General features: G+C 37.8%; 1 protein-coding gene across 25 annotated transcripts in view; it reads right to left on the minus strand.

The window, feature by feature from the left end:
• The window catches only part of RBM41 (RNA binding motif protein 41), a 66721-nt gene continuing 50514 nt past the window's right edge, over positions 423-16629 (minus strand). For 14 of the 25 annotated variants that reach the window (NR_136728.2, NR_136730.2, NR_136729.2 and 11 more), the window contains one exon: positions 10206-16014. Coding sequence is in view for 20 of the 25 variants with exons in the window: in NM_001394121.1 (NP_001381050.1) it covers positions 15848-16014 (167 nt within the window). In the remaining 5 variants the exon portion in view is untranslated. Of the gene's footprint in view, positions 1034-10205; positions 16015-16629 lie in introns of those variants that run through there. The other 11 variants (NR_136731.1, NM_001171080.2, NM_001324244.2 and 8 more) reach the window with 3 other exon arrangements.

The following is a 16629-nucleotide window of genomic DNA, read 5'->3' on the forward strand; positions in this document are numbered from 1 at the left end:
ATAATTGGTAAGATAATTTCACATAATGTTGAGTGGTATGAAGGATGTACACAGGGTCATGAGATAGAAAGTGACTGAGAGGAGAGTTGGTGAAATTCTTTATAAATAAGGTAGCCAAAGAAAGCTTTTCTAAGGGAAGTGACATTTGGCCTGATGAAGGAGGCAGCCACGTGTACATATGGGGTTGTGGGTTGGCGGAGGGGGGGCAACTTTCTAGGCAAAGGGAACAAAGATGCTAAGGTAAGGAGAAGCTTGACTTCTTAGAAAAGAATGCCAATATGTCTGCTGTATGTGTAAGGGCAGAGTAGTATGAGAAGAGGTCAGAGAGGTGGTCAATAGCCAGATCTGTTATAGGGCTTTGTAGACTATGATAAGAAGTTTGCTTTTTTAAAAAATGTGGACAATGCACATAACATAAAACATACCATCTAGACTTATTTTAATTATTTTTTGCAGTTGCAAGATTTAATAGAGTGAAAACAGGGCTCCCATACAAAGGGAGGGGACCCAAAGAGGGTAGCCGTTGCTGGCTCGAATGCCTGGGTTTATATCCCGATCATTGTCCCTCTTGCTGTGCTCTCAGGCGATAGATGACTGGCTATTTCTTTACCTCCTGTTTTTGCTTAATTAGCATTTTAGTGAGCTCTCTGATTGGTCGGGTGTGAGCTAAGTTGCAAGCCCCGTGTTTAAAGGTGGACGCGGTCACCTTCCCAGCTAGGCTTAGGGATTCTTAGTCGGCCTAGGAAATCCAGCTAGTCCTGTCTCTCAGTACCCCCTCTCAACAGGAAAACCCAAGTGCTGCTGGGGAGGTTGACTGACGACCGCTCTACCTGCTTCCTGCTGAAATGGGGCATGGTAGGGGTTGTGCAGTTGAGATTTCCTCAGGAGGGGTGCCTTTGATGTCATTAACATCGGAACAAGGGCTAGCAGGCTGGTCCAGGGGTCCGTGGTAGATTTTAGTCATGGACTGCATCTGGGGCTCCATTTGAAGAACCATTTGTAGCTTTACAGCTTCAATTCTGGAAGAGACAAACTTAACAAGGAGGTTAAAGATACAGGGTCCAAAGAGGAGTAACAATATTAGAGCTGCTAGAGGTCCTAAGAAGGGGAGAACCCAGGGCATCCATTGGCTGAGGAGGCCCCAGTGTTCGGTGTTTTGAAGCTCCTCTGCTCTACATTGTATTCGATCTCGAATTTCTTTAACTTTCTCAGTGACAATTCTGGATTGATTAACATAATAACAGCATTCTTCTCCTAAAAATAAACAGGTTCCCCCTCTTTTGGCGGTTAGCAAGTCTAAAGCTCTTCGATTTTGAAGGACTACTGCTGCTAGGGAGTTAAGTTGATCTTGCAAGGTGACCAGGGAGTCAGTGACCTGTTCCATGTCACCATTTATTTCTTGAGATAGTTTGTAGTAGAACTGAGTAGAGGTTGTGATACTGCCAATGCCAGTACCTAGTCTGCCTAGCACTCCTGCTCTGATAACAAAAGGAAGAATGGGTACTCTTTTGTTGTGGGGCTTAGGTACGACATGATTGTATAAATCTTGTTCAGTGTAGATGGTCATAGGGGGCACTAAGAATGAGAGGAAGCACATAGATTCTGAAGAGCCATTCAAACAATGATAGGCTGAGGTACCACAGACAAAAAATATTCCTGAGGGTAGGCAGACTATTCGTGTGGGAGGTGTTACCCACCTGATGCATTGGGAGCTGGTTGTGTCTATAGTATTGCTAAATTTTACACAGGTGAGGTTTGAGGTATGGGTTATTTCCAGATTGGAAACAAGAGGTCCTACTAAAACGGAAGTGGTGTTTATTTCTGTGCTGAAGTTGTTCCATTGTTCAGGAACAGGGATTGAAATGTATGGCCTGAAGTGCAGGGGGAGGCACATCCAACAGTTAGTAGGGTTTTGGGCTGAGACCTCATGGAGCCGAGTGAGGGTGGTATTAAATAGGCTCACCAGGCGAGTATGGGTACGGAGGGTTTCATGTAGTTTTGAGAGAACTAGTCCTTTGTAGGGGCTAGGGGTGCTATGTCCCCGGGTCAGTTGGGAGATTGCTTCCTTTACTTGTTTTTCTCTTGCCTGACCTTGAATTCCACCCCCATCAGACATACTGGTATGGGTGAAGTAAGTCCAACAGACAGTGGCTCCAAGTCCTCCAGGACAACTAGGATTAATCATTTTCCCTGTCCAATAATGAGTATTTGCATGCATGCAAAGAGTGGCAGAGTTATAGCAGTTGCGGGGCATATGGGTGTGGGCAGTGAAGGTGGAGTTTCCCTTAGATAAACTCCTATATGATGGGGCATCAATATTTCCAGGAAGCCGCGTTCTTCATAGAAACTCTTGGTAAGGGGAGCTACTGGTTGTACAGCAGCATGGAGGGGGTGCAGTGAGAGCGAAAGGGGGTAAGAGAACAGTAAAGAGAAAAATATGATAAGGGAGGGCCATGGGGATTTATGATTTGTTACTTTCCTCACAGTTGTCTGATAGTCACAAGTCTCCTTTAGCAGTGAGCATGCCGTTCACATCATGAGATTCCACACAGTAAGATCTCTTCCCTGTATTATTTTAACTGCTTCAGATACTAAGACTCCTACTGCTGCCACTACCCATAAACAATGAGGCCAATCCTTTGCCACTACATCAATTTCCTTACTCAGGTACGCCATGGGTTGCAAGCTCATCCTTCGGACCTGTGTAAGGACTCCTAGAGCTATTCCTGTTTTTTTCTGTGACATATAAAGAAAAGTCTGCCCCACTGGCAAGCTTAACACTGGGGCTTGGGTTAGGGCCTTCTTTAGGGCCTGGAAAGCTGCTTCTGCTTCAGGTGCCCATCTTACTAAATGGTATTGGCTTTCTGAGTTTCCTTAATTAGTGTATATAATGGTCTGGCTATTTCGCCGTACCTGGGAATCTGTATTTGGCAGAAACCTGTTATGCCAAGGAACCCTCTTACTTGCTTTAGGGTTTTGGGATGAGGATAAGCCAGTGTAGGCTGGATACGTTCTTCACTGAGGGCCCTGGTGCCTTTGGATAATTTTAGACCTAAGTATTTAACCTGCTGTGAGCAGAGCTGAGCCTTTGGTTTGGAAACCTTGTAGCCACAGGTAGCGAGGAAATTTAAGAGCACTTGGGTGGCTTGATGGCACAAGGTTTCTGAACGGGTGGCTAAAAGCAACCATCTAGACAATTTTAAAGTGCACAATACAGTGGACATTAAGTACATTCACAATGTTGTGCAACCATCACCTCTATCTCACTCCAGAATACTGCCAGCATGCCAAAATGAAACTGGGTAACCATTAAGCAGTAACTCCCCATTCTCTTTCCCCCAACCCCTGGAAACCACTAATATTTCCATCTCTGTTGTATTTGCCTATTCTGGATATTTCATAAATTGAACCATACAATATGTGACTTTTTGTGTCTGGCTTATTCCATAGCATAACGTTTTTGAGGTACAAACATTGTAGCATGTATCAGTACTCAATTCCTTTTCATGGCTGAGTAATATTCCATTGTGTGGCTATATAACACATTTTGTTTCTCCATTCATCAGTTGATGGATATTTGAGTTGTTTTCACCATTTGTCTATTGTGAATAGTGTTACAACAAACGCTAGAGTACAAGTTTTATTTTTTTATTATTTTTTTTTGAGACGGAGTCTTGCTCTGTCACCCAGGCTGGGGTGCAGTGGCACGATCTTGGCTCACTGCAAGCTCCGCCTCCCAGGTTCACGCCATTCTCCTGCCTCAGCCTCCCGAGTAGCTGGGACTACAGGCGCCCGCCACCACGCCCAGCTAATTTTTTGTATTTTTAGTAAAGACAGGGTTTCATCGTGTTACTCAGGATGGTCTCTATCTCCTGACCTCGTGATCTGCCCGCCTTGGCCTCCCAAAGTGCTGGGATTACAGGCGTGAGCCACTGCGCCTGGCCAAGTTTTATTTGAATGACTCATTATTTAATGAACCACATCATAATTCTATGGTTAACTTTTTGAACAGCCAATCTGTTTTCCATAGCAGCTGCCTTCCAGCCATGTATGAGGGTTTGAATTCCTCAAAGTTCTTGTCAACACTTACTTTCCTTCTTAGAAATGTATTCTTATACTCATCCTTGTGGTGTGTAGTGGTATCTCATTGTGGTTTTGATTTGCAATTCCCTAATGACTAGTCAAATCTAAGAACACAAAGATTTATCCCTATGTTTTCATCTAAGAGTTTTATGGTTTTAGCCCTTATATTTAGGTTACCACAACTAACATCATACACAATGGTGAAAGACTAAAATCTTTTCCCCTATGATCAGGTGGAAGACCACTGAGTATCATGTTAGCTGTGGGCTTTTCATAAATGTTCTTTATCATGTTGAAGAAGTTCCCTTCTATTCCTAGTTTGCTGAGTGTTTTTATCACGAAAGGGTATTAGATTTTGCCAAATGACTTTTCTGCATTAAATGAGATGATCATGTGTTTTTTTCCTTTCTATCAATGTAACTTATTACATTGATTGATTTTCTTATGTGAATGACCCTTGCATTTCTGGGATAAATCACATATGGTCATGATGTATAATGCTTTTAATACGCTGTTCAGTGTGATTTGCCAGTATTTTCTTGAGGACTTTTGTATCTGTATTCGTAAGGGACATTGGCCTGTAGTTTTCATTTCTTGTGTATTTTTCTGGCTTTGATGGCAGTGTAATACTAGCCTCATAGAATGTGTTAGGAAGTCTTTCCTTCCTTTCCATTTCTTTGAAGAGTTTGAGAAAGATTGGTGTTAATTCTTCTTTAAATGCTTCTAGAATTTACCAGTAGAAATTTCTGTTCCTGGGCTTTTCTTTGTTAGGTTTTTGATTACTGATTCAATCTCTTGTTATAAGTCTATTCAGATTTTTTCTTTGTGCGTCAATTTTGGTAGTTGTGTGTTTCTAGGAATTTGTCCATTTCATCCAGGTAATCTGATTTATGGTGTATAATTATTCATAGTATTCTCTTATAATCCTTTTTATTTTTGTAAGGCTGACAGTAATATTCCCATTTTAATTTCTTAAATAAATTGAATCTTCTTTTTCTTAACCACTATAGGTAATGGTTTGCCAATTTTGGTGATCTTCTCAAATAATCTTTTTTTTTTTTCATTTTAATGGTTATATTGGTTTCCTAGTCCCTATTTCATTTATCTTAACTATTATCTTTTTTTTTTTGGGGGGGGCGACAGGGTCTCACCTTGTCACCCAGACTGGAGTGCAGTGGTACAAGCATGGATCGCTGCAGCGATCATGTGATTCTCCCACCTCAGCCCCCTAAGTAGCTGGGACTATAGGCATAAGCCACAATGCCCAGCTAATTTTTAAATTTTTTTGTAGAGACGAGGTCTCACTACATTACCCAGGCAGGTCTCAAACTCCTGGGCTCAAGCAATCCTCCCACCTTGGCCTCTCAGAGTACTGGGATTACAGACATGAGCCACTGTGCCCAACCCTTAGCTATAATCTTTACTATTTCCTTCCTTCTACTAGTTTTCAGTTTACTTTGATTTCATTTTTATAGTTCCTTAAGGTGTAAAGCTGGGTTATTGATCTGAGATCGTTCTTTATTTAAAAAAAATAGATGTTTGCACTTTAAAAATATGCATTTGAGCACCACTTTTGCTGCATCCCATAATTTTTGGTATGTTGTGTTTTTGTTTTCATTTGTCTCTTTTTGTTATATTAGTTGTTTAAGCATCTTTCATTTAATTTTAACTCATTTGTGGATTTTCCAGTTTTACTTCTGTTCTTCATTTCTACTTTCATTCCATTGGATTTGGAGAAGACACTTCATATTGTTTCAATCTTTTACAATTTATTGAGACTTGATTTGTGGCCTAACGTACAATCTGTCCTAGAGAATAGTCTTCCATGCGCACTGGAGAATAATGTGAATTCTGTTGTTCTTGGGTGTTCTATAGATTGTCTGTTAGGTTTAAGTGATTTTAAATGTTTAAGTACTCTATTTACTTCAAAAGCACAGGCAACAAAAGCAAACAAATGGGATTATATTAAACTAAAAAACTTCTGCATAGCAAAGGAAACAATCAACAGAGCAAAAAGAACCTACAGAAGGAGAAAATATTTGCAAACTACTCACCCAACAGGGGATTAATACTCAGACTATACAAGGAACTCAACATCTCAACAGCAACAAAAAAAACTGTGATTTTAAAATGGGCCAGTGATCTGAGCAGGCATTTCTCAAAAGAAAACATACAAATTGCCAACAAATACATGAAGAAATACTCAACATCACTAATCATCAGGAAAATGCAAATCAAAACCACACTGAGGCCAGGCGTGGTGGCTCATGCCTGTAATCCCAGCACTTAGGGAGGCCGAGGCGGGTGGATCACTTGAGGTCAGGAGTTCAAGACAAACCTGGCCAACATGGTGAAACCCTGTCTCTACTAAAAATACAAAATTTGCCAGGCGTGGTGGCACACACCTGTAATCCCAGCTACTTGGGAGGCTGAGGCAGGAGAATCACTTGAACCTGGGAGGCGGAGGTTGCAGTGAGCAGAGATTGCGCCATTGCACTCCAGCCTGGGCAACAAGAGCAAAACTCCGTCTCAAAAAAAAAAAAAAAAAAAAAAAATGATCTTTGATAGCAACAAGGACACTTTGTCTATTGTAATAATCTAACACTTACTGAGTTCATACCAGGCACTATTCAAAACACCTTACATGTATTAATTCTCACAACCACCCTGTGAGGTAATAGTATTATTGCTCTCATTTCAAAAATGAGAAAACGACTGTTTAGTGAGTTTAACTTACTCAGGTTCACACAGGTAGTAAATAGTGGCCAGATTTGGTTATAGAGCTAGTAAATGGTAAAGACAGTGTATGGTAGAGCCATACACTGGGAATATGGCATTAGATCACATGCCCTTAACCATTATACTGTTCCGTAAGTGGAGGAAGCTACAGTGTAGGCACAAAGGTAAGTAGGTGGTAGATTTGTATTGAAAGAATAAGGGCCTCGTGTCAGGCTGCTATAACAAAGTACCACAGACTGAGTAGCTTATAAACAGAAATTTCTCCCAATTTGGAGGCTGTACATCTGAGATCAGGGTACCCTCATGGTCAGGTTCCGGTGAGGACCCTCTTCCAGGTTGCAGACTACTGAAATCTCCCTGTATCCTCACATGGCAGAGAGACAGCACTCTTGGGTCTCTTTTTTTTGTTTCTGATCCCCTTACCTACCAGATGGGATCTAAACTCCCACAGTGCTTTGCATCTTTCTTTATGGTACTCATCACTTTATGTTACAGCTTACAAACAGGTTTCTTACCTCCCCTATAAGCTGAGAGATTCTTGAAGGTAGTGACTCATATATTTATTGTTTAACCTAGTACCCCAATGGCATCTTAGAGAATGTCTTATAAGTAGTAATGATACATATGTTTTTCTTAAGGGCATTAACCCCATCCTGAGGCCTCGCCCTTCTGACTTAATTATCTCTCAAAGGCCCCAATTCCTCAAACCATCACATTGGGGTTTAGGATTTTAACATATTAATTTTGAGGAGTCACATTCAGTCTATAACAATGAGGAGGTTCTCAATGAGAACACATGGACACAGGTAGGGGAACAACACACACTGGGGCCTGTGGGGTGGGGTGGGCGGAAGGGGAGGGAGAGCATCAGGATAAATAGCTAATGCATGTGGGGGTTAATACCTAGGTGATGGGCTGATAAGTGCAGCAAACCACCATGGCACATGTTTACCTATGTAACAAACCTGCACGTCCTGCATATGTATCCTGGAACTTTGAATTAAATTAAATTAAATTAAACAAACAATGAGGAAGTTCTCATTTGACTGCCAACATGATATTTTATTGCACGGTTGTACCATAATTTTAAACCAATCAGTCCCCTATTGATGAAATTTTGTTTCCAGGTTTTTGCTATTACGATGCAATGAATATTCTTGTGCCTATCTCTTTGAACACATGTAAGTATTTCTATATAATAGAGATCAAAATGTGGATTTTCTAAATCTACATACTTAAAATTTTAATAGATAATGCCAAATGCCCTCCCCAAAGGTTATACTTACTTATACTCCCATCCAAAGCCTACAAGAGTGTCTATTTTCCGTACCCTTAGCAACATTTAGTGTTATCAGTTTTTATATCTGACATTCTGACAGGTTAAAAAATGACAACTCAACATCTAGTGCCCAGATCTTGGTTTCTAAAAGTCATTTCCCAATAAAAGGAAGTAGGGATCCATGCAGAAATGATTAATTCCAGTGCTAGGGTAGGGAAAAAACAAGATGAGCCTGGAACATCTTGTGGTACCAGAAAACAAGGAAGTGGGCAAAAATTGGGGACATGTCTAAGAACAGAGGGGCCAACCTGAAGGAGCTCCTAATGGCCAAAGGTAGAAGAATTTGAGCAACAAAACAATGACAATATTAGGCTATAAGCCATAGAGTAAAATAAACATCCATGCTGATATAAATACATGAGAAAATAAGCAGGAGATGGGACATCTTCCTTACAGAATTTCAATATAGAGTGAAAAAAAAAAAAGAAAATCACTGCTGCTGTCTGAATGTGCCTTCTCAAATTCATATGCTGAAACTTAATCATCAATGTGATCAATGTGATAGTATTAAGTGGTGGGTCTCTAGGAGATGATTAAGTCATGAGGGTGGAGCCCTCATGATTGGGATCAATGATGTTATAAAAAGGGATTTGCCCTTTTTACCCTGTACCTCCGCCATAAAAGGGAGCAGCGTTCTTCCCCTCTGGAGGATGTAGCAACAAAGTATCATCTTGGAAGGGGAGAATAGCCTTCACCAGACACTGAACCTGCCAACACCTTGATCTTGGACTTCTAGTTTCCAGAACTGTGAGAAATAAGTATCTGTTCTTTAAAAATTACCCTGCCTCCATTTTTTTTTATTGTTGTTATAGTAGCACAAACAGACTAAGACAATCCCCACTAGGTAAACACTACCGTAATAATTGCTGCTGTCAAGAACCATTGATGAATGCTAAAAGTAGTGGGCAAAAGTATGATGGGAAACAGAATATTTGAACAGCCTCAGTGCATCTTCCAGAAGGTATTTAGTAATTGTAAAGAGGAAAACTGTAACTTTACAGTAAAGAAATCCAGCAAACACCCCTTTAAGCAAGTGATCAAGGTTAACATCACCAGTATTAAAAATTATCATCAAATATGTCCTGATACAATGCACTAAAAAGGGCTAAAAATCACTTTTGTGGCATTCTCACCAAAAACACAAAACATGAAAAAACATCAGACAGACCCTCATTAGGGACATTATACAATATAACTGACCAGTATAGTACTCTTCAAAATTGTCATGGTCATCAAAGACAGACTGAGAACTGTCACAAATAGGAACAGAATAAGGAGATAACAAAATGCAATGTGGCATCCTGGATTTGATCCTGGATCAGGAAAGGACATTAATGGGACAACTGGCAAAATTAAAATAAGGTCTAATAGTTAATAGTGTTGTATCAATATTAGTTTCCTGATTTTGATAACTGTACTATAGTTAAGTAAGATGTTAGCATTAGGGGAAGTTGAGTGAGGATATATGACAACTCTCTTATTATTTTTACAACTTTTCTATAAATCTAAAATGCTTTTTGAAAATGAGAGCCCACTGTCTTAATCTGCATTACTACTCTGAGCATTTGTCTTAGTTTATTGGTCATTTATATTTTCTTTTCAACAAATTTCCTTTTCCCACTTTTTTATTGGATTTTTTTATGTATACTAAAAAGTTATATACATTGTACACTAAGAAATTAGCTCCTTGTATGGGATAAATATATTTTCCAGCTTGTCCTTTGATTTTTTAAAATGGTGGGCTTATATGTATATGTGTATACGAATTTTTTCCTTTCTTTTTTTTAGAGACAGTGTCTTGCTATGTTGCCCAGTCTGCTCTTGAACTCCTAGCATCAAGTGATCCTCCTGCCTTGGCCTCCGAAAGTGTCGAGGTTACTCGCATGAGCCACCGTGCCTGGCCTACGAATGTTTCTAACTGATGATTTCTGCTGACCTGTGGGCAGAAAATAAGGAATGGTAGCAAAGTGGCTTTAAGTTTTCAACTGTAATCAAAAGGCCACAGAATAAAAAACTACTTAACAGAAATGACCGTCTCTCCAAGTTTTTCTTTCCTCCATAAAAATAACATTTATTTAAAAAAATTACACACAGTAAAATTCATCCTTTTTAGTGTACAAGCCTATGGGTTTTGACAAATGCATATACTTATGTAACTACAATAAAGACACGGAAAATTTCAATTATTAAGACAAATTCCTCATGCTACCACTTTGTAGTCAAGGAGCATTCCAACCTTAACCCCTGACATCCACTGAAGTTTTTTCTCCATCCCTATTGTTTTGCTTTTTGAGAAAATAATATGAATGGAATCAAACAGTAAGCAGCCTTTTGAGTTTGGCTTCTTTTACTTAGTAAAATGCATTTAAGATTCATCCAAGTGGTTGCATGTGTATTTCATTAGTTTATTGCTGAGTAGGATTCCATTGCATGGATATACTACGGTTTATCTATGCACCAGTTGAAGGATATCCTTCATTTTTATGTTCCTCAATTGCAGTGGTCTGTAGGTCTAGTAAAAAGCAGAGGTGAAATTTTCTACCTAACAGGAAGCACTTCCTTCTAAAAAGTCCAGCTTAGAAGTATGCCCCTGGTAACATGTATCAGAGGCTATATCAGGATAATTTATTCCTTGTCACTTAACTATGTCTGAAATTAGAGTGTTAATCCTAAGTGAGCAGTATATCAAAGGAATAGGAGTTTGTCCTGAGTATAGTCAGATGATATCCCCAGAGTAGGCCTGACAAATATTCTGGAAGCCATGCCATTGGCAGAATATTTTTTAAAAAATTTTTTAGTTAAAAAAAAAAATGAAAAAAGTAAAAATCACCCCAAAATCACACCACTTTAAAAATTTTACAAAGTGAAAGTCCTCCTTCAGCCTATTCAATCCCACTTCCAAAGGTTTATAACTTTCTATGTCTATTTCCCAGCTTTTTCTTAAATTTATTCAGAAATATCTATATACATACATACTATACATAAATGAATGCTTTTGCATAAAAATGTATTCATACTATACATATTTCTGCATCTTGTTTATTAACTTAATACACAACCTTGGACATGAGTATAGGTCATAATATATTCATAGATACACTTCACTATTTTAATGGCTGCATAGTATTGTACTAAATAGATGTACCATAAGTTATTTACCCATTTTCCTATTGATGGACACCCCTACTTTTGTGAGTTTTATTGAGATATAATTCATACACCACACAATTCACCCATTTAACGTGTACAATTCCTGGTTTTTAGTATATTCAGAGTTGTGAAATCACCACCACGACCAATTTTAGAACACTTTCATCAACCTCTAAAGAAACTTCATACACTTCAACTGTTACCCCCAGCCCTTCCCATTCCCCCCAACTCTGTGCTAGCCCTAAGCAACCACTAATCCACTTTCTATCTCTATATATTTGCCAATTCTGGACACTTCATATAAATAGTATCATATAATATGTAGTCTTTTGTGACTGGCTTCTTGCACTGAGCATATTCTGAGTTCTTCCATGTTGTAGTATGTGTCAGAAGTGTTCACCACTCTTCTACTTTTTGAAAAAGTTTGTGAAGAATTTGTATTAATTTTTCATTAAAAGTTTTGTAGAATTCATTTAAGAAGCTATTTCAGCCTGGGCTCTTCTTTGTGGGTATCTTTTCAAAAACTCATTTAACCTATTTACTTGATATAGGTTTATTCAAGTTTTCTACTTCTGAGTTGGTTTTGGTAGTTTGTGTCTTCCTAGGAATTTGTCCACTTCATTGATAATTTATTGACATAAAATTATTCATAATATGCCTTCATAATCTTTTTTATTTCTACAAGTTCAGTTGAAATGTTCCCTCCTTCATTTCTGATTTTAGTAATTTGATTCTCCTTTTTTCCTGGTCAGTCTAGCAGAAGGTGTGTCAGTTTTACTGATCTTTTTATAGAATCAACTTTTGGTTGCATTGATTTTTCTCTACTTTTCTTCACTCTATTTCATTTATTCTCATCTAATCTTTTATATTTCCTTCTTTCTCCTGGCTCTAGGTTTAGTTTGCTCTTCTTTTTCCAGGGTCTTAAGGTGTAAAGTGAGGTTAGTGCTATGGTCTTTCTTTTCTTTTTTTTTTTTTTTTTGAGATGGAGTCTCGCTCTGCTGCCCAGGCTGGAGTGCAGTGGTGCAATCTTGGCTCACTGCAAGCTCTGCCTCCCAGGTTCACGCCATTCTCCTGCCTCAGCCTCCCGAGTAGCTGGGACTACAGGTGCCCACGACCACGCCTGGCTAATTTTTTGTATTTTTAGTAGAGACAGGGTTTCACCATGTTACCCAGAATGGTCTCGATCTCCTGACCCCATGATCTCCACCCGCCCCGGCCTCCCAAAGTGCTGGGATTACAGGCGTAAGCCACTGTGCCTGGTCTTTTTTCTTCTTAAGTACAGGCATTTGTACCTATAGATTTCCCTGTAAACACTGCTTTAGCTGCATCTTGTAAGTTTTGGTTTGTTGTGTCTTCATTATCACTCATCTCAAAGGGTTTTGTAATTTCCCTTATGATTTTTTTCTTTGACACATTTTTTTTTTTTTTTGGTAATGACAGGGTCTTGCTGTGTTGCCCAGGCTGGTCTTGAATTCCTGGTCTCAAGGGATCCAAGGAATCCTCCCACTTCGGCCTACCAAAGTGCTGAGATTTCAGGCGTGAGCTACTGCACCCAGCCAGTCACTTACAAGTGTGTCTGATTTCCACATATTTGTGAGTTTCCCAACTTTTCATTGTTTTCTAACTTCATCCCATGTGGTCAGAGGGCATGCTTTGCATGATTTCAGTCTACTTATATTTATTAAGGCTTGTTTTATGCTTTAACTTATGACCTATTTTGGAGATGTTTCATATGCACTCGAGAAGAATATGTATTCTGATGTTGGGTGGAAAGTTCTATAGATGTCTTTTAGGTCAATTTGCCTTATAATGTTGTTCAAGTCTTCTATTTCCTGGTTTATCTTCTGTCTAGGTGCTCTATTATTGAAAAAGGGGTATTGAATATTCCAACTCTTTTTATGGACTTATCTGTTTCTCCTTTCCTTTCAGTTTTTGCTTCATGTATTTTGGGCTCTACTGTTAGATGCATATATATTTATAGTTGTTACATCTTCCTGATGTATTGACCCTTTTATCATTGTAACATTTTACTCTTTATCTCCAGTAACATTTTTTTAAGTCTATTTTGTCTGGTATTAGAATAGCCACTCCAGCTTTCTTATGGCTGTTGTCTGTGTGATATATTTGTTTTCCATCCTTTTACCTTTAATCTCTTTCTATCTTCTAAAGTGTGTCTCAAATAGATGGCATGAAGTGGAATCAGACTTGTTTCTGACATCTCTGCCTTTTATAGTATTGCTTAATCCATGCACATTGTTATTTTGATATAGGAAGACTTATGACTGCCATTTTATTGTTTTTGATATGCCTCAAGCTTTTTGCTTCTCCATTCCTTCTTTTGCATTATTTCATAATGTGATATTTACATTTAATAATATTTTTGATTTTTTAAAAGTTATTTCCTCAGTGGTTGCTCTAGGGCTTACCATACACATCTTAACTAAACAGAATAGGCTTCAGATAAACACTAACTTAATTCCAATGTAACAACCCTATTCCTATATAAACCCATCCCCCGCTTTGTGGTATTATTGTTATATATGTTATTCCTATACATTACAAACCCAACACACATTATTATAATTACTTAATATAATTTTACATCTTTAAAAGAAGCTGAGAGAAGAGTAAGTATATGTTTATAGTTTTTTTATATTAAACTTATTTCCTATTTCACGTTCTCTCCATTTGTTCCTGTGGATTTGTCTTACCATCTGGAGTCAGTTCTTTAGTACAAGACAGTTTTGCTTCCACTCAGCTTCTTCAACCTGTTATCGGCAAATATATTATATTTTATACGTTATAGGCCAAACGATGCAACTATATACATATTGTTTTATACAACTGTGTTTTACATTAGTTAAGAGAAAAAAGAAAAATGCATAGATTGTTTCTGATAATTACATAATTATTTTTGCCTGTGCTCTTTTTCTGCATGTGTGTAGATTCAGATTACTGTCTGTGGTCACTTGCTTTCAGGCTGAAGAACTTCCTTTTGTATTTCCAGCAAGTCAGGTCTGCCAGCAACAAATTCTCTTGGTTTTTGATTATGTGAGATGTTTTATTTCACGTTCATTTTTGAAAAATAGTTTTATTGTATATAGGATTATTGGTTGACAGTTATTTTCTTTGAACACTTTGAATGTGTTATTCCACTGCCACTGCCATTGTTTCTGAGGGGAAGTCAACTACTAATTTTATTTGGGTTCCTTGGTAAGTGATGGCTCATTTTTCTCGTATTGCTGTTAAGATTTTCTTTTCGTTTTTGGGTTTTAGCATTTTTCTTATGATGTATCTGTCTGTAATTTCTTTTTCTTCTGGGATGTATAGGTTAATGTCTCTCATCAAATCGGGGGTATTTATAGCCATTATTTCTTAGAATATTTTTCTGCTCCTTCATTTCTTTTCCTTTTTTCCTGTACTCCCATTAGAAATATGTAGGAATGCTTAATGGTGTCACACAGGTTCTATACTCTTGTTCAATTTTATTCATTGTTTTCCTTTCTGTTCTTCAGCCTGGATAATATCTCAGTTCATCTTCACAACCCAGTGAGGTAAGTAGCATTATTATCCTCACTTTATAGATGAAAAATGTGAGGCTCAGATTAAGTGACTTGCCAAGGTCATAGAATGTTAAGTGTGGCTGTACAGGTCTGACTCCAGTTTGTACTACTTCCTCTCTGTATATTGTTTTTTTATTTTCCAGCAACCATAAACAAACAACTGGGGGATTTGTGACTGGCATCCTCTTTTCTAGAGAACGCTTTATTTCCATTTCCGTTTGGCATTCTTTGCTTGTATGTTCCTCTTCTAAAATTCATATGCCTAATATTTAACATATATTAGACACTTAATCAATGTTTATTGCTATGAATTCAATGATACTCAATGGTTGCTAGCTTAAATGGCTGTGAGAACACCAACATTTTGATCTAAAATATTTCACTAGAAAAATATATAGCTTTTTGAAGACTGATAACTTGTGGAGGAAGCATTCATTAAATAAGTCAACTGACTTATGAAACTACCTACTATTACTGCTGATAGTTCTGACTTAATAGCATTTGTTGATGCTTAGGCCTGGGGGTCCTACTCTTTTATTTACTAGGTGGATGAAATATGGCAAATGGGCTCTAGTAAAGAAATATTTCAACATTTAATTAGTTTTTTATTTCTGTGTATACGAAGCAGTCTAAGAAAGAATGTTATCTCTAGAGACAAATATTGAGGACCCCAGAAAAATTATAAAGATTTTTAAAAATCCTTAGGAATAATCCGTTGTAATTCATCCTGAGAAAATAATACTCTTTGCACTTTACCCTTCATACTCAGCATATCATCTGTCCTATATAGTCTTCAATTATATAATAGAAAATGTTTTCTACCAGTTCTCTCCAAAAGCTGAAATTACTTTTTTCCCCTCCCTCAGTTAGTTTTTCCTCTTCAACTCCAAACAAACTGGTGTCTATACATAAATCCTAGATCCAAGATTCCAATTCAAGAAAGACCATCCAGGACCCACAATTTATATATATTCTAGCTACCACTAATTTCTGTAGTGCTACCTGTAGCACATGATATGAGAGAAGTCGCTTGGAGATTTGACCGTTGCTTTTTGTTCTTTCCAAACTCTATCACCAATATTTTCCCATGTAGTTTGTATCCATTTACTAGATGCAATGCTTGCCATGCTATCTCCTTATCTAAAAGAGAAAGAAAAAATTTCAATTTACATAGGACTTAATAATTCAATTCTATTCCAGGTTTAGTTTAGATTATTTTGCCTTGGAGTTAAATGTAAGCTATAAGGCCATATAGTCATTTGATTTGATCATTTTTTCTATAATCTCCCATTTGCATTATTAAGCAAAATTAAATTAATGGCAAAAATAATAACAATAAAAACTCAAAATCGGTGTTTGAGGGTGTCTCCTAATTCAAAGAAACAAGTAGAGAAACAAAGACATAGGCAGCGTGCTAAAGAAGTCTAAGCTATTAGTAATTATACACAAGTCTCTATCTTAGGTAACAGATTATAGGTATTATTAGAATCAATCATTTTCAAAATGAGTAACACAAAAGAAGTTATCATGTTATCAAGGGCACTTTGCCACTTTTTTTTCAGTGGGAGAGTGGTTCTGGGCCACCTTATTGGGATAAATAAGTATAAGAACACTTGTAGGCATATTGAAGGTTGAAATGTGAGAATATATACTACATGCCAGGAGTATTCAACTTATGGGTCTAAGAGCCTGGATGTAAGAAATAAGGAAGGGATGATTTGTGGCCAGGAGTTTGTGGAATCCTAAGTAGACAAG

The sequence above is a fragment of the Homo sapiens genome, chromosome X (genome assembly GCF_000001405.40).
Source record: "Homo sapiens chromosome X, GRCh38.p14 Primary Assembly".
In the NCBI taxonomy this organism is placed as follows: domain Eukaryota; kingdom Metazoa; phylum Chordata; class Mammalia; order Primates; family Hominidae; genus Homo; species Homo sapiens.